Source organism: Homo sapiens, chromosome X (genome assembly GCF_000001405.40).
Source record: "Homo sapiens chromosome X, GRCh38.p14 Primary Assembly".
NCBI lineage: Eukaryota > Metazoa > Chordata > Mammalia > Primates > Hominidae > Homo > Homo sapiens.
The window spans coordinates 110,690,128-110,711,874 of NC_000023.11; the positions used below are offsets into that span (position 1 = coordinate 110,690,128).

At 39.5% G+C, this 21,747-nt stretch overlaps 1 protein-coding gene across 12 annotated transcripts in view, besides 1 other annotated feature; it reads right to left on the reverse strand.

Annotated features, from left to right (window-relative positions):
- CHRDL1 (chordin like 1) overlaps positions 1 to 21,747 on the reverse strand; it is a 121,962-nt gene that overhangs the window by 16,272 nt on the left and 83,943 nt on the right. For 11 of the 12 annotated variants that reach the window (NM_001143983.3, NM_001367207.1, NM_001143982.2 and 8 more), the window contains 2 exons: positions 10,527 to 10,594; positions 4,036 to 4,204 (listed from right to left, as the gene is read on the reverse strand). In NM_001143983.3, the coding sequence (NP_001137455.2) occupies positions 4,036 to 4,204; positions 10,527 to 10,594 (237 nt within the window). Of the gene's footprint in view, positions 1 to 4,035; positions 4,205 to 10,526; positions 10,595 to 13,034; positions 13,190 to 21,747 lie in introns of all 12 variants that reach the window. The other variant, NR_159734.1, reaches the window with a different exon arrangement.
- Positions 8,869 to 8,928: an enhancer, noted in NCBI's record as "active region_29856". NCBI's record gives its function as "activates an Ori minimal core promoter by ATAC-STARR-seq in GM12878 lymphoblastoid cells {active_cell/tissue: GM12878}" and the evidence as "EXISTENCE:reporter gene assay evidence [ECO:0000049][PMID:35858748]".

The window sequence follows — 21,747 nt, forward strand, 5'->3', positions numbered from 1 at the left end:
CTCCGCCTCCCAAGTTCACGCCATTCTCCTGCCTCAGCCTCCAGAGTAGCTGGGACTACAGGTGCCCGCCACCACGCCCGGCTAACTTTTTTTTGGATTTTTAGTAGAGACGGGGTTTCACTGTGTTAGCCAGGATGGTCTCGATCTCCTGACCTCGTGATCCGCCTGCCTCGGCCTCCCAAAGTGCTTGGATTACAGGCGCGAGCCACTGCGCCCAGCCACATATATATATATTCTCATATATATATATGAGAATAAATGAATGCATGAAAGCAGAGTTCTATCTCTAGTAGAATGTAATGTTAATATTTTCAGTTCTATAGAAAATTTGTATGCCTCAAGTGGATGTGCTTCCAGGCATGAAAATTTCCTTGGGAGATTTGCTTTCCATGGAGGCTAGATGCAAAAATTACTGCTCTTCCCAAAGGGACAGTTTCTTCCGGATCCTGAAGCAAATCCATTCAGAATGTCAAATGCTATGAGTCTGTCTGATCCACCAACATATATAAGTATGGAGCTTAATGGTGTTCGGCACTGTTTGGTGTAGGAAGGAAAGTGATAAGTCAAGATTGAGAGGGAAAGGACCAAGCCCTCCTGGGTAACTTGTGAAGGGATAGCCTTTTATGCCTCTAATTTCAGGCAATTTCCTCAGTCTCCCACCTCATACTGGCTATAGATATTTGGCTACAGCTGATCACTGCTTGCTTCACAGATATCCTTTGGCAGTCTGACATTTGTTAAGTGGGAAGTTAAGTCATTGGCCCCATGTCTTCTGAAGGACCTTAAAAGAGCAAGCATCTGGCTGGGTGTGGTGGCTCCTGCCTGTAATCCCAACACTTTGGGAGGCCGAGGCAGGAAGATCCTTTGAGCCCAAGAGTTCAAGACCAGCTGGCAAACAAAGGGAGACCCCAGTCTCTACAAAAATAATAATACGAAAGTCGCCAGGTGTGGTAGTGCATGCCTGTAGTCCTAGCTACTTGGGAGGCTGAGGTGGGAGGATCACTTGGGCCCGGGAAGTCGAGGCTGCAGTAAGCCGTGATGGCGCCATTACACCCCAGCCTGGGTGACAGAGTGAGACCCTGTTCCCTCCCCAGACCCACCCAAAAAAGGAGCAAGCATCTAGGATGCAGGCTGAGGGGCCTATAAAGGGAAGGGGCCACAGGAGTATCTTTCTATGCAAATCAACACCAAATATATCTGGCTCCTACTATAAGGCATGGAGCTAGGCTCCAAGATAACTGCACAAGGCTGCAGATGGGGAAGTCCGAGGATGAGTTATCTCCCTTTTTGAGAGTGCTGAGACATTGTGGAGATTTCAAGTCATGACTAGGACTGGGTGTGTTTCTTATTATTCCCATCACCTCATCACACCCAGGGAAACCTGTTGGCATCCCAATCAACAACATCTCTAGGGTGGGTTGTATCACTTCAGGCTGGGCTGTTGGGGAGAAATAGTCCCACTTGATGCATTTCTAGGAATTGGCTGATTTGGCTGCAAGACAATGGCCTCAGAAGGATGAATCACTGGGCTAGTTCTTTCTCATCAAGTCCACTGAGTCACATTAAGAAATAAGAATAATGTTAGCTGCCTTTTCCTGTCCTTTGCAAGAGCTGCTAGAATACTGGACACTCTAACTGGTCAACCCACGTAAAGATTTCCAATAACCTAAACTGGAGTGGCTCACAATGTTACAATGAGACAAAATGGAGAGCTGACACCTCAACTGTGAGGTCAGGGCTGTGGACAGGATCACACAAGACAGGCCAGATGTGCTGTTCACTCTCCTGCCCTTACCTCTTTTTTTTTTTTTCTCCCCAAACAGTAACGTTCCCTTCTAGACAATGTGATCAAGTGGACACACAGTATGCTTCAAGAAAATTTAGGCTGGATTCAAGTTCAAAATGGTGGATTCCTATCATTTCTCTTATTTGATGCTAACAAGGAGCCAAGTAGATATATCAGAGGACCACATTATTAGCAAGAGATGTAAGGAAAAGAACGATCCATGATGAGCAGGGCAGGCAGGATTCCCAGTGTTATATAGCTAGGCTCCATCTCCCCTGAACATTTGGACTAAAGGAATAGTCTAGACTGGATGAGACTCTGCAGTGGAATGGGGTGAAGTTAATTCTGGACAGGGAAACATAGCCCTCTCCTTACCCCAAAAATTATCGAGATGATTTTGAATCATCCAGCTTGGGAGTTGGGGGTGGGGACAAGTGATTCCTCAGTGAGCTATATTAGAAAGGTCAGAACAGAACTGTTGCATCCAAATCAGTGGGGGCAAATGAATAAATGTAAACCAGCTGGGGTTTTTGTAGGACATGGAGAAAATCAAGGGATGAGCCTCTGCCCTGAAATTAAAGAGACCTTGTGGAAATTATGGGATTTAGGATTTTCAAAATCCATTTCCCTACACTTTTAAAAGGCTTTGAAATACTTTCACAGCAAATGGAATCTATTGGAGGCAATTTAGAATTGAAAATCAAGCTATCTTTACCTTTCTTCCTGATTTCATAAGCTTTTATCAGAAATCCTTGGAACTTAAAAATAATAAAATACAAATCAAACACAGATCGATAGTAAGTATTTCCAATTCTTCTACTACATCACCATTTTCCATTAATGGTTTTATTTCGAATGTTTTTTTAAGCCTGCAAATTTCAAAAGCAATTTAATTTTTTTATCTGTAATCTGAAATATACATCTAACTAGTAACAGATGTGATCAACTAGCTTTGGCTTGACTAGCTTTGTTGAGATTTATGGTAGGAGTTCTTTGTAACGGATTGTTTTTCACCCATGTTATTCAATCATTTGGTTTAATAATTTATTACTTTTAACCCATTCAGAAAACTGCTTTTGATTTGTTTTCCCTTTAAACGAAACAAAACATGTTTGTGGTTTCATAAAAGGAAACAGCTGAGCCCTTGCTCCAACGAGCTGGTTGACAGGAGGCCTAAAAAAGTAAGAAGCAGTCAATTGTTTGATTGAGTTTCTCCTCCCTGACTCCTGCTACTGGTGTGTGTGGGGGTGGGGGCAGGGGGCGGGTGGAGGCCAGAAAATGCTGTGTAAGAAGACATTGGAAGCTATGGAAGTCTATGGGTGCCTGCTGTAGCCAGTTGATCAACTAAGTGGACAGCATGTCAGTCTTAACCTGATCAGTCTTCCTGGTGCTCAGCCAGGTGGTTTTGGGATTTCTCACTGGATTACTCTTTTTCCTTTTTAAAATTTTTAATTTAGAGATAGGGTCTTACTTTGTCCCCCAGGATGGAGTGTAATGGCACAATCATAGCTCACTGTAACCCTGAACTCCTGGGCTCAAGTGATCCTCCTGTCTTAGCCTCCCAAGTAGCTAGGACTACAGGCACTCACTACCATACTTGGCTAATATTTTTTCATTAAATTTTTTTTTGTAGAGTCTTATTATGTTGCCCAGCCTGGTTTGAACCCCTGGCCTCGAGTGATCCTCCTGCCTCGACCTCCCAAAGTGCTGTGAGGCATGAGCCACTGCACCTGGATTACTCGTTTCTAAGGATAGTCTCATATGCTACACATTTAACCAGAATCTGAGTGTGGGGCTAGGAATATGTATCTTTAACGAGAGCCCCAGGGTAATCTGGGGTGCATTGAGGTGTGAGAATTGCTATTTCTAAGGTATAGATAAGAGCTTCAGTGATGTTTGGCACTGAGTACCTTTGAATGTTGGGTCCCCTACTAAAACACAGACAATCACTCATTCTGTTAAAGACCCAAGAAATTTTCCCAAATGACCTACAATCCCCAGGGATAATTGAGAAAATACAAGAGGCTGTTTACAAAAGGGACCGGACTATGCTCTTTTGGCTGCATTTAAGGAAGTCCAAAGAGTCTCCTGGAGTCACCTGACTATACCCACAGACTTGATGCTAAGTGAGCCACAAGTGAATATGGGCTATTCCTGGGAGAAAGGGTCCTTTCCCAGCTCCAGCCCTGCAAAGACCAGGGCTGCTGAAGCCTTGTTGTGGAAGTATACAAAAGAAGGATGCCCCTTACCTTGTCCATGCTTGTGTTTGTTATTGATGACAATTTGCACAATGGTTCCTGATGCTTGCTGGGAATCCATAAGAGCTCCCCGGTGACTTCTGGCCCCAGGAAAGCGGGACAGACCTCCAGCCTGTCGGCTTGGTGGAGGATCATAGTGAGAGCGGTGGTAAGAATGTCTCTGTAAAATAACAAGAACAAATTTAGTCCAAAAGCCACCAATGAGATCACAGAGATTAAGTTATATACTAGAAGTCATTCAATAATTTTGATTTATAGTGGTGAGCTCTGATTTCAGCTGCATGCTTACCTACACCAATAGAAATAGGGATGTGGTCATGTACAAGCAGCTGACATTTTTTTCATTAAAATTTTTTTTTAATGACAACTTGCCAAGGTTTATCTCTCTTCTTCTAAAAGATAGGACTAGATTTACAGGCAAACTTCTCAGGGAGAAAAGAGCCAAAAAGGCTAAAGCGTCCTTCCTGCTGCCAAGACTCTCACATTTCAGTTTAAGAGTTAAGACAGTAGTCTGCACGCAAGGCAGAATGTGAATAGAGGCTGCAGAAGAAGTAAGCAGTCCTGTGCAAATCAGAAGGAGAAAGAGAGAGCTTCTAGTTGGGGAGGGCTTGTGACCTGGGCCACGAAGGATGGGTAGACTTTTTTACAGGCAGAAGTTAAGTGGAATAGTCCAGGCAGAGGTTTACAAGTTGAGAAGGTGAAGAAGAGAACATCGAGTCCATAAAAGGGAACAGTTGCAGAATAACATTCCAAAAGTGGGTTGAAGCCAGATCATGGAAGACTTTAAATGACAGGCTAAGGGGTGAAGACTTTATTTGGTAAGCAATAGAGGTGAGGGCATAGAAGGCTTTGAGGGATTTTTTTTTTTAAAGTTAGAGAAATAATGTAATCAGAACTGTTTCAAAGCATTGAATCCTGATCATGCATAGGGTGAACTGGATAGGAGGAAAAGATGAGATTCGAGTATAGTCTTGATAAGATGTACTTAGACTCTAAAGACAGGTAATGGCATAAGATCATACAATGCAGTACAAATACCCTAGGTATTTTATAGGTAGAAGAATTGATAGTACATGACAGTATTGGCATGTAAGCTCTACGAAATCAAGGACTTTTTGTTCACTGCTATATCTCCAGTGCCTAGATTTTAGTGTCAGGCATCTAGAAGGTGTTCATCAAATACTTGTTGAGTGAACAAAACTCTGGTACCTAAGAAAAGCTTAGAGTCTTGTCATACAAGTAATCTTTCAGCAAGGGTTCAACACACGTGATGACCAGACTATTGTGCTACCCACCCCTCTCCCAGGAGCTAAAGTAGGCTGGGGGTACAAGAAGATGAAATGAATGAAGAATGGAACCTTAAGGCTTAAAGCCAAGTAAGATTAATTGTATTTTATAGGCAATTGTTAGGGGTGAAGGAGGGGGAACCCATTAAAAAACTCTTTCACAGGCAATTGAAAAGGAAGGTCTTTATATTCAGTGACAGAAATAGTGAGGAACCTTGGGAAGATAGTTATGGGGTCCCCTGACCATATCCCATAAAACACTGTTTAAAGTTATGGGCCACAGACAGGCATGTTGCAAATTTCACTTTGGGAAGTATTATTGCCCTCTTGGCAGGAAGGGGCCACTGGTAGGGGAAAGGGAGAGTAAACAGGAGCTGAAGTAAGAGGACCTTTTTTAGCCTTTTGAAAGACAATGTTATTCTATCTAAGAAGAGCCTATGTTGGTGCATTGCTATCAAAATTCACACAAATAAAAATTTGCATCAGTTTGTTTTCATGCACATGGATAGGATTCTCAGTTCAAATATTTCTCATTCCCACAATGGCTCATATGTCCTTTTCTGCCATAATCACTCACATTCCACAAAGGCCATTATAGGTTGCTCTGTCCTTTTTGAAGTTTGGCAAAGTTTTGCCAAAGGAACACATAGAGGACAGTTTGGCTGGTTGGTGTCCCACTGATCCTAAAAAGAAGCAGTTGGACTGGGATAGAATTAGAGAGGGAAGGTTGTTGACCCAGGATAAGCTGCAAGTACGAGAAGTTCTCTGACTCATGATGGTGAACACAAAATGAAAAGCCATTCTTTAGCACCAACGTCTCAGACCTGGGACATATAATAATGGTAGGAAAATGATCATGATGAAAAAACAAAATCCTCAAGAATTTTGATCACAGGCCCTATTGTAGACCAGTCAGTCCCCCAGAACCTAATCTTGTTGAAGTCTTTTGTTTTACAGACAGAGAAACTGAGGCCAAGGAGGAGAGGCAGTTTACTCATGGTGATAATGAAGATTGAGTTTTTGGAGATGGTAGGAGTGTAGGAGTAGGGGGAAGATGAATAGAAGGAGGAAGAGAAGGAGAAGAAGGAGAAAGTGGAAGAAAGAATGTCCAATCAAACTCAGTGGTCTATAACCATTTGACTAAAAGCTGGTGCAAAGAGAAGTTCTTTCAGATACAAAAGTTCATTCAGCTACAATGTTCACAACCACATATACCACATACTCCACTTTGGCTATACACTAAAATCACCCGGTGAGCTGTAAAAAATACTCATACCTGGGTCCCGCTCTGAGGTATCCTTATGTAAGTGGTTTGGGGGAAGGCCTGGGCATTAGGATTTTATATACTCCCCAAGAGACTCTGGTTTGAAGCCAAGGTTGGGAATCACTGACATAAAGGATTTTCTGTTTGGGGGCTGGAGTGGGTGGTGGTGGTGTGTGATTTTGATTTAAGGGTAATGGTTCTTTTAGAGTTCCTCCCCTAAACAAATGAAAGAGACTTATGAGGGGCCATTCTGACCTTGTAACTCAGAGCAAAGGAGAAAAAGGTTATTAACGCCCTGAAGTTGTAAGTGAAATTGGAGCTTATCTTAAAAATTAGCTGCAACTAGCCTGCTTGAGAGAGCGGGTCAAAACCAGTTAGAAATGACCATATAGCTATGATCTTTTATTTTGCTCAGTATTTTGGTATTTTTTGATTTACTTACTTGAAAGACTGAAAAATATTTCAGGCTTTAGAGGTGGCTCTAAAACAGTTCTTTTCCAGTGTTGAAAAATCCCCACTATTGTAGAGGACCCCCAAGAATTTCATGTTCTAAAGTCTAAAATATAAGAGTTTTATTGGTGTAGACAAGAAAACATCAGGGTCCAGAAAGGGCCCTCATGTTTGTGATACTGTACTATAGATTTTCAAGATGTTACCATTTGGGGAAACTGGGCAAAGGGAATATGGGATCTCTCTGTATTTTCTGCTACAACTGCAAGTGAATCTATAGTTATCTCAAAATAAAAAAAGTTTAATTTAAAAAGCGGCTTCAGAATATATTCTAATCCATACAGCCATTAAAACATTGTATCTTAATCACTACCAACCTAGGACTATCTCTGGCTGGAAGACACTTAGGCCAATTTCCTTCCCAAACCATTGTTCTGACAGTACAAATGAGACATGGATTTTTATCTGTTTCATGTCGTTTCTATCCCAAACGCTTTCACTTTTTTTAATGGTAAATTTCAACGTAATCTACAGGGGGCAAAAATCAGGGCTTGGCTGTTGTCCAAAACAAAATTATGCATGCTTTCATGTTTTGGCTTTCTAGTCTGCACCTACTTCTTCCTCCCCACATACCACACCACTCCACACACACACACACACACACACACACACACACACACACACACACACACACACACACACACACACGCAGACACACTCCCCACCAATGGCACGAGGACCAATTCATGAGAAATTACAACTTAGAAATCAAACAAAAACTGTTTCAGGTTTTTACAAAGGAGTCATATTTGAACCACTGGTTCCTCTTCCTGTGCACTTCATAAAACTTGCTAAGCCGATGGTTTTCAGACCACCTGGCAAAAGAAACCAGTCAGCTGTATTTCTGTTGAACAGAGGTTTTGCTGGTTCCCGGTAAATAGGAACAGTTTACGAAAAGGACAGTCTCCTGGATAAGAAATCTGTTGTTAGGGCTGCCTTTTCTTCTTGCCCTGAGGAAGTTGGGCCTGCAAAGGATATTCAGAAGGGATTCTCCTATTTTCTCATTTTAGGCTGGTCAAGAGCAAACAACAAATTTGAAGAGTTTATCTCTGATTTGAGACAAATTCCTGTGCATTAAAATTAATGAGGAACCCCCTCCCCACTCCACCATCACACACATTTTACGCCACCTCCCACACCCATTCATTCAATGTTTATTTATTGGGTGACTACTATGTGCCAGGTATATATTTTTCCATTACTACAGATGCTATTTATTATTCAAATCATATCCCACAATATCTATCCCTTTTAGAACAAAGGGAAATATTTATTTATAATAAAGTGAAACCATATGGCCATTTTGGTCTACCAGGCACAAATGTTTGTTTCTAAAGATAGGTCTTGAACTCCTTTGAAAATCAATAACTATTTCAAGGGCCCACATTCTGTACCCGACCTTTTTTGCTACAGGAAGTACTGGATTAAGTCCAGGCCTATCACTAGGCCTGTCAATGAAGCTGAAAGATAAGGGCTGGAATTGAGGGCAGTGTAAAATGAAGTCAAGAAGAAAGGCTAATTCATGGCATTACCAGCAAGACTGCTAAGGTGGCCATAGTGCTTAGTGTGGGGGCCTCTCAGGGAATAAGTCACATAGCTTAAGGTGACTAAACTCTAAATTTGGTTTAGAATGACATCTGGTTGACAGCCACTAATTCAGCCACTCTCAACTACCTACCACAATAAAAAATAGGGGCTGAGAAAAAGAGGAACAGACAACACAGAAAACTGAGACTGACATCATCTCCTGTCAGGCTCTGGAAGGAATCTCACTTACTATAAAGCAGATAGAGTTGGGTGGAGAAAATCTTTCCTCAGGGTTTATATTAACCAGCAAACAGGGAAGCCTACCCTCTCTTGCAGGATGCTGATTTTTTGAGATGTCCAGAGTACTGTTCTCCAAACCCCTTTCCCCAATTCTTCTGCAACTATTCAGAAACAGCAGTGTTCAGAAAATAATACTGATAGAGAGTAAGACAAATAGAAATGGTTCCATCTCACTGCTGAAGCTTTGGGTTGGGTGTTGGCAAGCTGGGAGCATGCAAGTTAGAAGTGGCCCATGTGATGACCAGGAAGCCCAGCCTCAGCAGCACTGTGATGTTTGTATGAGTCATTCTACTGCATCCCCTATCAACATCTTCCTCACATGCTCAATATCCTCAGGCTTGCCCTGTAATTCCCTGGACTCCTGCCTCATATTCAATCCTTGCTGAGATTTTTCTAGGGTTTTAGAAAATCAAATATATTTTATTACAAAACTAATTGATGCTTATAGGAAAACATCAAATTATACAGAAAATATAAAGTAAAAAGTCAAAATCTACCTTTCCTCCTGCCCACTTCTACTCCTTTAAGATTAGCACACCTGACATGTTGGTATGTGACCTTCCAGATTGGTTTATATGCATTTATATACATGCACATACAATTTTTACATAAAGAAGTGATAGTGTACAATTTCATTCTGCACCTTGTTTTGTTACTTAACATATCTTGGAGCTCAATTCACTTTACTACATTTAGATGTACCGTATTCTTTTAACAACTGCACAGTGTCCCATTAATTGGATGTACACACCAAGTCCCTAGTAGACATTTAGGTTGTCTCCATTTGTTTTGTTTTTATGAAAACAACAACGCAGTGAATGTCCTTGCATACTTTTTTTGTACAAGGATGTGATGAACACCTATTTATGTGCAATGGTCACCACTGTGCATTTTGTATGATAGATTCTTTGAATCGGAACATCTCCTTTTCAGATTTTAAGAAATTTGTAGTGTAAAGCTTCTTAGACATATATTTTTAGAGAGGAATGCTATTTTATAAATTCCTTCAAAATACAAAAGAACAAAAGATGCTATTACTTACATAGACAGATGCCTACTTGTGAGGCTTATTCTGAGATTAGTGCAGAGAACAGAAGGGAGACATCACCAGGCTGAAGAGAGGAGAATCCAGACTGCTACCTTTCCTCTTTTCCAACTGTATGACTGAGAGCCTAAGGCTTGGGAAAGAGTTTATGTGGACATGTCTGAAGTACCTACCAAATCCCACCAAAAAGATGGTTGTATCCTACAACCCTACAGAAGGTCCTCACTGTTGAGGATAGGAGTGACCTAGCTTCCTTAGAGAACACATAAAGACTTGGCAAGTCATCCTGAAAGAGTACCAACTTCTGACCTAGACAAAGGGCTGGGGCTATGGTTTCTTTGTGCACATTTCCTGCCTCCAGTTACCAATTTTACAGTGTACTTAAATGGTTTCCAGTTGGTGATGACATTAAAAACTTTGAGAAAAGGGAAGAAAAATGGTGTTAGAAATCGGGCCTTTTTTTTGGATTTGCTAGAATAGTAGCCACGAGGAGAGGAAAGCTTGGCCTGATGCTGTGGAGTGTTGAATTATTTGAGCTATTCACACTTACTGCTTCTCTGTTGGCAGGTTGCCGGAAGATATCACCATCAGAATGTTCCCATGACAGTTCTCCATCTCCTGTTTATTAAAAAGAAATAAGGAGAAAATCATACATTCATAAAAGGGAAAGTTATCACCCTTGTGACCCAGCAACATTTTTGGTACTATGATCCCAAAGTTCTTGAAGTGTTTTTGCTTTTGTGGCTGTCCTTCAAAAAGCGGCTGTGAAAGATTTCTCTGGGTGTGCCTCATTTTTCAAAACAACTCTGAAGAAAGTTGCCACTTTCTAAATAGATGTCCTAGCAACATTATGCAGAATTTGGAAAATAAAAGGAAAATAATCACTTTCCACCTAATTTAACCATCACTGTCACTTTTGCTCATTTTACTTCGTGACAGTTAAGTGTTTTGCAGGTCATAATTCACTTCTGTTTAAACTACCATTAAAATAATGAGTTTTGAGGATTTGATCTGTCATAATTTCTTATGACACACCTTTCTCTAGGTCTACATGACCCACTCTTTGGACAGAGAACTCCTTATCATTATCTTCTAAAGTAACTGCTTATAGGAAGAATATTCTACTTTCAGCCTCTAGAGCAACAAACACACAAGAGCTGTGGATATACCTCAACTGATTAAAAAACAAGAGGATCATTTCCAAGAATATTGCCCTTGTGTTACCTCTGACCAAGCAAGCGAATGGGAAGAGCCTTGTCTTAGAGATGTTTGCATCACTTGAAATGAGTACTATTTAAATTATATATATGGCTGAAGATAAACCTAATATTCAACATATATTTTATAAGATAACCAGAAACACAAAAAAGTGTAAGTACTAAGAATTTTCTATTCTGATTACTCTCTCAAGCCTTCATAAGAGTAACACGCCGGGTGCAGTGGGTCATGCCTTTAATCCCAGCACTCTGGGAGGCCGAAGTAGGCAGATCACTTGAGCTCAGGAGTTTGAGACCAGCCTGGGCAACACAGGGAGACCCTGTCTCTACAGAAAATACGAAAACTAGCTGGGCATGGTGGTGTGCACCTGTAGTCCCAGCTACTTGGGAGGCTGAGGTAGAAGAACTGCTTGAGCTTGGCAGGTGGAGGTTGCAGTGAGCCGAGATGATGCTACTGCATTCCAGCCTGGGCAACAGAGCCAGACCCTGTCACACACACACACAAAAAGAGTAACATGTTACCAGTTCAAGCATGTAGTAGTAGTGTTAGGGGAAATTAGGTAGTATCATAGGCTTTTAAGGGCTTGAAAACGACCTAAAAATTAGTTTGATAGCAATATTAGAATCAGGCAGTGACTTATAACAGAGTATGACTGTAAATCTTCATAATTCAAATATTATCTGATGAAAAATAATGAATTTTGAGGATTTAACTATTTGCTAGGTTAATCTTCATAAAACAGTAAAACACCACTTTGATTGTATAATCGTGTCATTCCCTGATCAAAACCCTCAGTGGGTTCCCAACCAAGACTCTCTACAATCACCCCCTACTGCCTACCCAATGATCTCAGCTACTCTTCAATGGGAACCCTTTGAGCTACTTGCTCTTCACTGAATACTGGACTCCCATTGTTGCTTCCGTGCTGTAGCTCATGTTATTCTTCTTCTGAAATTACCTTCCATCTCCCACACCCCATAGCTCCCCCATGCCTGTGAAAACCATTTAAGTTTTCTCTCCTCTGCAAAGTCTTCTTCAAACACTCTTACATATTTCTGATTGCCTAAAAGACTAAGCATCCTGAAGTTTTAGAAGTATAGAGGACGTCAAGCATAACTTTGTCCAACTGCTCCATTTAACAGATGAAGAAACCATGGCTGAGAGGGGAAGTAGCCATTCAGAGTCTAATAATGAGTTTGTGAGAATTAACACCAAAACTCTAGGTTACCTGGCTCCCAAATAGGTATGTCCATTCCATAAGAAAAGGGTTCATTACCTGTGTTACTATATCACCATCATCTATAACAGTGCCTGATACATAGTAGTCGCTCAATAAATACTTGTCAAATGATGGAACTGGGAGGCCTTCTCTGACCACCCTATCTATAGTTCCAACCCCCATCTGATATTTATGCCTGCTCTTTGCTTTTTCTCCTTAGCAGTTATTACTATCTTATATTTCTTATATTTTATTTATTTTGTTTATTGTCTGCTTTCCCATATTAGAATCCCCCCATGACAGCAGGGATTTTTGTCTATTGTGTTTACTGATGTAACTCCAGCATCTGGGGCAGTGCTGGGCACATAGTACTTATTCAATATTTGTCGAATCAATAAATACTAAAACACTGTACAATATTTATTACTGTTAAATGTTTTCTGGGCCTTCCTTGTCTCCCTAGAGAGTCTGTAAATTCCTTGGAATGAGAGATTATGTCTTAGACCACCTCTGTATCTCCTAGACCACTGCTTCTCAAAATGTGCTTCCTGGACTAGCAGTATCAGCATTACCTGGAAACTTGTTAGAAATGCCAAATTTCAGATCCCAACCCATACCTACTAAGTCAGAAACTCAGGATGGGGGCTGGTGATCCTGGGTTTTGACAAGCCTTCCAGGGGATTCTGATGGATGCAGGAGTTTGTGAATAACCAGGCTGGAGCACTTAGCATATTGCTGCGTACACATCAGGTGCTCAATATATGTATTGAATTGAACTGCAGTAAAACATACAGAATTAAGTGCTTGGTCAATAGTATATATACTCTTTTCTGCCTGTTTTATTCCATGTCTGAGTAAAGATTGTAGACTGCAAGCTGAACTCTGTGGAAACCCTGACTGACTACTGTAAAACAAAGATGATTTCAACTATGTTTATAACTAGAAAATTATGCCCAAGAGTCAGTTAACATGCTTTGAACACTTCTTGGGTGAAGAGCCTGATACTACAGCAGAAAGAGGAGAAAATCAGGCTGGGCTCTTGCCCTCAGGATATTTACACCCAGGTTGGAGGTGATGGGAAATCAATATAGGAAACAGCCTAAAAACACACAAAAAAAGCAAATACAAATGAAATACACATGCTTAGGAGACACTGAATGGGATGAGTGAGCAGTCAGATGTAATCGTAGAAAGCTTCCTGAAAGAACCATTAAGTCACATTTTTAGAAGTAGATACTGCACAGCATAAACCGACAGTGATAAGGGCAGAGAGTACCTCAACCAAAGGGAGTGACATTGGCAAAGGACCAGAGCTTTGTAAACAGCAAGTCACATACTGGAGACAGCAAGCAAGGTGTGGCTTGAGTAGAAACTTCAGATATGAAAACAAGAGAAATTACGCTGGTAATTGAACTTGTAGAGAGAAAGGGAGGAGAGGGAGAGCGAAGGAGGGAGGGAGAATGACAGTGGGGTGTGTTGTTGAGGTAAATAGGGGTAGTAAATAATGTGCTACTATTTGATAGCACAATAGGGTGACTATAGTCAATAATAACTTACTTGTACATTTTAAAATAACTTAAAGAGTGTAATTGGATCATTTGTAACTTAAAAGATAAATGCTTGAGGGGATCGATACCCTATTCTCCATGATGTGTTCATTTCATATTGCATGCCTGTATCAAAACATATCATGTACCTCATAAATATATATGCCTATTATGTACCCACACAATTTTAAGAAAATAATTAAATTGTAAAAAGTAAACAGTAAAAATTCAAAAAAATATAAAATTTTGTAAAAGGCTGAAGAATTCACATTTGATTATGTTGCCAATTTTTCTGTAGGGGTTCCTATGATAAAACTGATATTTGTGGAAGCCTATTCTGGCAATGGGGTATAGACTAGTTGGGGAGTAACTCGAATGCAGGAGGCCATACAGGAAGCTGCTATAGTAATATGTAATAGGCCATGAGCATCTGTGCAATAACACACAAGAAGGATTGAATGAGACTCCTACAGATGAAAAGAAACTGATAAGACCCTGAAGGAAGATTTGATGATGGGGAAGGAAGGCAAAGGGGAAATCAGTATCTGACAACTCTTGGGTTGCAAATCTGGAGAGCTGGGGACAGTGATTGAGCAGGGATGAGCTTAGATTTACTTGTCCCCCTTGTTTCAGTGGGCAGTAGTGGGTCTGGGCCAAATAAAATATGGGACTAGAGAGACGAATAGAAACCAGTAAAGATTTACCAGCAAATGGCAAAACAAAATGTAAAAGCTATATAATGTGGTTTCAAGCCTAATTTAAGTAGTCAAAAGGGAGAAAACAAGTTGCAAAAGAAAAATGATAGACTAGTTCTCTTCATCAAATGTCCTTTTAAAATGTAGATTTAATGATTGGTATTGACATAAAATGTTTACTTAGCTGGCCTTCTGAAAAGTTCAGTTTATTTAATTTATACCCTAGAGTTTTTAAAAGGATTTTAATTAAAGAGTGTCATTAAATACTTATAGTCCAGTCAGAATCTCAAAGCATTATAGAAGCACATAGCGCCTCTTACAAATGAGCAGAGAGGTAAGATGGAAAATCAAGGAGGCAAGTCACTATCAGGCATAGGAGAAGAATACTAATACCCTGTAACACAAATCAGATGAGTGTGTCGTGATGTGTATTTGATGAGCATTTGCAGACAAGAATGCATACCTAAATTTCAGCACTTCATTAAAAAGTAATGGAGACTATATATATATATATATATATATACACACACACATATATATATACACACATATATATACACATATATATATATACACACACACATATATATATACACACAGACACATATATATACCATCTGATCTTTGACAAACCTGACAAAAACAAGTAATGGGGGAATACTAAACCTGTATTACATATATATATCATCTATATCATACTAAAACTGTATGATATATATATATATATCATCTATATCATACTAAAACTGTATGTTATATATATCATACAGGTTTTAGTATTCCTAGTCTAAAATGCTCCAGAAGTTTTTGAGTGCTGATGATGCTCAAAGGAAATTCTCACTGGAGCATTTTTGGATTTGGGGTTTTTGGATTAGAGATGCTCAACTGGTAAGTACAATGCAAATATTCCAAAATCCAAAAACATCGGAAATCTGAAATACTTCCAGTCCCAAGCATTTTGGACAAGGGATATTTAACCTGTATATAAATACACACATATATGTATATATACACTATATTTATATATAAGATATACTATGTACATTATAAATTATATACATTAAATATATAAATACTAGGAACTGTTAGCATTTCTGGTGCCTCTGAGCTTTCAAAGTCATCAAAATTGCATTCTCTAAACTTCAATGTTCTATTAAGTCTATTAAGTAGCTGCTAAACGTTTTAACATTTGAATTATTCTATTTAATTTAACCCATAATTAAACTGGAATTATCTTCTTAGATGTTGACATTTTATAAGGCTATAAGTGGTTCTCTAGACCTGGGTACAGTCTGTCTGGATAGCTGAAAATAGGTATGTCCATTTGCAACCTTAGATATCATACTTTGAAAAAAAGTAGGCACCAATACCCTAAAAAACCTGTTTCTTTGCTCTTTTTGTCTGATCACTGGAAAGATTATCTGAATGAGATGGAGGCTTTTTCATTCAGCCAAGTCTTTTTGTAAAAAACAAAACAAAACAAAAAACAGAGATTCTAATGGATTCAGATGGATTCTAATTAATTTTGAGAAGCAACAAGATATAATTTTAACCAATTTTTTGAACTGAAATAAAAACAAGTGTAGTGTACTGTATGTCAAACAATATTCATTTAACCCTAAAAGCCACATGTATTGTTTATTCAAACCTCAGTCATACTCTCTCTGAGTGGTACCCTATGAAGCTGTAATGGGTTGGCTTTCTAGTAGTGGGAGAAAGGGAGAACAAGTATTTGAAAAATGGCCAAAAGCTAGGCTGAAATTCAGACTGTTTATAACTCCTGTGGCTTCCATTAATCTCTGGTGGCTTGAGCAGGTCAGAGAGGTAAACTGTCCTCTCAAAAGGACTAAGTGTACAATGAGATTCCGAGATACCCATGAAGATAAGCCTCAGAGAGCAAAACTATGCCAGCATGTGGCCACTTTTGAACCATACATCATAAATAGGGTAGCCATAGAGCAGATTTATCTCAGACAACTCAGTTTTATTGCCTGTTTTTCTGGCAGGCATAATTATTAAGATTGCAGCTCTTGCTTTCAAAATGTGCCTCGGTTGAGATAGTAAATTACATAGTCACTCTAATCATAAGGCAAAGGGACATGAGACAAATCCCTGAGACAGGGGAAATGTTCTCTGTATTTTTTGAGGCAGAAGTTGAAATGAGCAGAATCAGGGCAAAGTGGAAGAGAGCAGGGAGGAATAAACCCATTGTGAAGTCTCTCCTTACCATGAGCTGGGTTCCATGGGGGAGCACTTTAATGCCAGTGCTCCATACCGAAGCTAGAGATGAAGAAGTGAGTAGAAGCAGATGACTTTAGGGAGCCTCTGCCAAACATCTAATTCTATAAATTCTGCTGGGAGGGAGCAAGTGTGCTGAAATTTGAGAGAAGCTTTAAAAGGAAACTAGTATAAGGATTCTCCACTGATAGGCATTTGAGCTTCCAATGATGATATACAACAATACAAGAAATCTGCAAGTTTTATAAAGCACAAAATTAGAAAAAACTACTTTAAATTTCAAATGGAACCAAAAAAGAGCCCATATAGCCAGGACAATCCTAAGCAAAAGGAACAAAGCTGGAGGCATCACACTATCTGACTTCAAACTATACTACAAGGCTACAGTAACCAAAACAGCATGGTACTGGTACCAAAACAGATATATAGACCAATGGAACAGAACAGAGGCCTCAGAAATAATGCCACTTATCTGTAACCATCTGATCTTTGACAAACCTGAGAAAAACAAGCAATGGAGGAAAAGATTCCCTATTTAATAAATGGTGTTGGGAAAACCTGGCTAGCCATATGCAGAAAAATGAAACTGGACCCCTTCCTTACACCTCATGCAAGAATTAACTCAAGATGGATTAAAGGCTTAAACGTAAGACCTAAAACCATAAAAACCCTAGAAGAAAACCTAGGCAACACCATTCAGGGCATAGGCATGGGCAAAGACTCCATGACTAAAACACCAAAAGCAATGGCAACAAAAGCCAAACTAGACAAATGGGATCTAATTAAACTAACGAGCTTCTTCACAGCAAAAGAAACTATCATCAGAGTGCACAGGCAACCTACAGAATGGGAGAAAATTTGTGCAATCTATCTATCTGACAAAGAGCTAATATCCAGAACCTACAAAGAACTTAAACAAATTTACAAGAAAAAAAAACCAACCCCATCAAAAAGTGAGCAAAGGATATGAACAGACACTTCTCAAAAGAAGACATTTATATGGCCCACAAACATATGAAAAAGAGCTCATCATCACTGGTCATTAGAGAAGTGCAAATCAAAACCACAATGAGATACCATCTCATGCCAGTTAGAATGGTGATCCTTAAAAAGTCAGGAAACAACAGATGCTGGAAAGGATGAGAAATTGGAACACTTTTACACTCTTGGTGGGAGTGTAAATTAGTTCAACCATTGTGGAAGACAGTGCGGTGATTTCTCAAGGATCTAGAACCAGAAATACCATTTGACCTAGCAATCCCATTACTGAGTATATACCCAAAGGATTATAAATCATGCTACTATAAAGACACATGCACCGGTATGTTTATTGCAGCACCATTCACAATAGCAAGACTTGGAACCAACCCAAATGCCCATCAATGATAGATGGGATAAAGAAAATGTGACACATATACACCATGGAATACTATACAGCCATAAAAAGGATCAGACAGTTATTTTCTTAAAAAATACTTCTTTGTCAAATGAAGTACTTTATTGTTTGGGCTGTCAATATAAGATCTTAGTATTTTTAACAAAATAGCTCCTTGAGAAATACCAAAACACACACAACGGGGGGAATTCCTGCCAACAGTAGCAAGCCAAATCTGAAGAAGAGTACAAAATTATTTGTCCAGAAAAATCATAAATACTTACTTTTTAAAAAGTGCATTGTGAGAATGCATGCGTTTCCAGGAGGAAATCAGAAGAGAGTGAATACAGAAACTACGAGCTGGATGGTACCCACCATCCACACTCTGCTCTTTCAATGGAGATGTGGCTAAACAGATCCAAGTTTATGGTGAGAAACAGAATCTTTGCTTCTCAGAGCAGTCCCAATGCATCTGCTGGATTGTTACCATATCTGGCCCCTGGAAAGATGGTCATCACACAGTCTGTTCCTCCCGGTAGCCTCAGAAATAAGAGTTCCCAAATTTGCTTTGCTTCCCCAAGTTGAGAGGCAGTATAATATAATGGCTAAGAGAACAGATTGGAGCCAAACAGTTTGGATTCAAATTCTGGCTCTGCTCCTTCCTACTTATGTGACTTTGGGCAAATGAATTAACTTCTCTGTGCCTCAGTTTCCTTATTGCTAAAATGGAGACAATAATGCCTACCTTATAGGGTTGTGAAGATTAAATGAATTAGTATATGCAAAGCATTTAGAATTGTGCTTGGCACACTGTGTCAGCTAAATGTTAGCTGCTATTCCTAATCCCCTTTCTTCCCATTCTTTGCCTCCACTTCTTTTTCCTCCTTCTCCTCAAGGGTAGCTTACACATGGGGGAATACCCGGCTTAAGGGACTCCCACAAGTGTGCTGTGTATTTAACAAAGAAAAGGGCTTGGATCAAACAAACAAACAAACAAACAAGCAAACAAAGCCTAGCAAAGATAACTGCATGCCTGCACATTGAAAAGGAATCATTTCATCTCTAAATCATTGGAAGACAGGGTCCTGGAGATATTTTTAAAAATGGCTAGAGAGATTTCTTCGGCTCACACCTTCTAAACTGGCTTAGAATTTCTCATAATTATGCTAGTCCTCTATTTCCAATTTTTTAAAAAAGAGTTTGCATCTTAATTAAAATCTCTTTTCTCTCTTGGCTAAAAATGAGGCTTGACAGGAAAGATATCTGCTTCATTGGTAGGAGTACAATTTACAAAGTTATAAAGTGAAGTCTTAAAAATCCAAGTGCCCACTGAGCGCGGTGACTCATGCCTGTAATCTCAGCACTTTGGGAGGCTGAGGCGGGTAGATCATCTGAGGTAAGGAGTTTGAGACCAGCCTAGACAACATCGGGAAACCCCGTCTCTACTAAAAATACAAAAGTTAGCCAGATGTGGTGAGCGCCTGTAGTCTGAGCTACTTGGGAGGCTGAGGCGGGAGGATCACTTGAACCCAGGAGGCAGAGGTTGCAGTGAGCTGAGGTCATGCCACTGCACTCCAGCCTGGGCAACAGAGACTCTGTCTTAAAAAAAAAAATCCAAGTATCCAAATAAAGTAGAGTTCTGTGCTACCACATCCATGAACTGAAAATAAAAAGCAGGACAGAGAGGAGAAACTCAATGACCTACCCATGCTGACTGTCTGGTCAACCTGAAAATGAAAAGCAGTCAGTTGTATACACTGCTCTTCCTTCTCATGTATCTTTTACCTCTGTTTGCACTGTCAGTCAACAAACCAGGTTGATTTCTATAAATTGTTGGAGTCTAAGCTCATAAAGACTATTATAATGTGAGTAATGGGCACATCCAATGGTGTTTCTGGGCAGCTATGGAATTCCTTGAAGGAGTTAGAAAGAATAAGGTTGAAGAAAGAGTGGCTTTAACCACCCATGAAGAAATAATTGCTCTGAAATGCTTCACTGGGAATTCCTTATTTTTATTATAGAAACAGATTCATATACACACAAAAAAGTCCTCCAATCCCAGAAACAGAATGGGGTATTACTGACCCTGACAGGACAACCCAGATGGCCGATTAGGAATCAGTGCTATTAATTTGTTAAACTCAATGTGAAAGTCAACGCTGTCCCATCCACTGTCTGAATGACTTTCTATTCAAGAAGAAATATTCTAGACGTAAGAAACATGCCAAGAAGGAACATGATGACCTTAGAGGGACGGGGTCCTGGGACAGTCAGCAAGTACGTGGGGATGAATTTTGAGCACAAGAGATGGAGAGAAAGCAAAAACAATCTGGAACATTTCCATGGAAGGAGATCCAGTTGGGATTTAGATGAGGAGAGGTAGGTGAGGATGGCAAATCTCTAAAATGGTCCCATACACATGAACATAAATGATTCACTTTTGAAAAGGTATTATTAATGACAGCGAGACTCTTCTATAGCTATGAAAATATCAGAGTATATCAATACACAGTCGTCCCTCAGTATCTATGCGGAATTGGTTCCACGACCCCCCACAGATGCCAAAATCCACAGATGCTCAAGTCCCTGATAAAAAATGGCATAGTGTTTGCATATAACTTACACACATACTCCCATATACTTTAAATAATCTCTAGATTACTTATAAAACTTAATACAATGTAAATGCTATGTAAATAGTCATTTTACTATATTGGTTTCTAAAATTTGTAATTTTTAGATTGTTGTACTGTTACTTTTAACGTGTTTTTAAAAATTATTTTCTATCTGCAGTTGGTTGAATCCATGGATGTGCAACCAGTGAATATAGAGGGCGGACTGTATTTTGAAGTTTAGGTGAGAATGTATAAACTCAAAAATTACTGAGTTAATTTTAATTTTTTTTATTTTATTGTGGTAAGGACACTTAACGAGATTTACCCTTTTAACAAACTTAAGTATACAATACTATATGGTTAACTATACACACACAATGTTGTACTGCAGATCTTTAGAACTTGTTCACCTTGGAGGGGGAAGTGGGGAGCTGCTAATCAACAGGCATAAGGTTTCAGTTATACAAGATGAATTTTCATTTTTTAAAGTAGTGTTTCTCATTAACAATGTTTCTTTCCTATCATCATGACCAGGAGATGGTGGTGTTTCTGCAGAAAATGTGGGCCAAAACATAAACAACTTGAGACTAATTTGTGAGAATCTATATTTGGATTTGCTGTTATTTTCTTCAGTTTTCTTTGATTTTGAAAACTTTGAAAAACTGGTCAATTTTTATGATGTTTAAAATCAATGAAGTATCTCACATACCACTTCCCTGAAGATCCCGGATTCTAGCTGAGATGGGATCTGAGGTGCAATTTTGCTGCTCTTTCGGAAAGAGAAATCAAGTGTCTTAGGTAAAATGGCACTTATCTTGAACACTGACTAATATACTTTTAAACAATTGCTTCCAGTTTCATTTA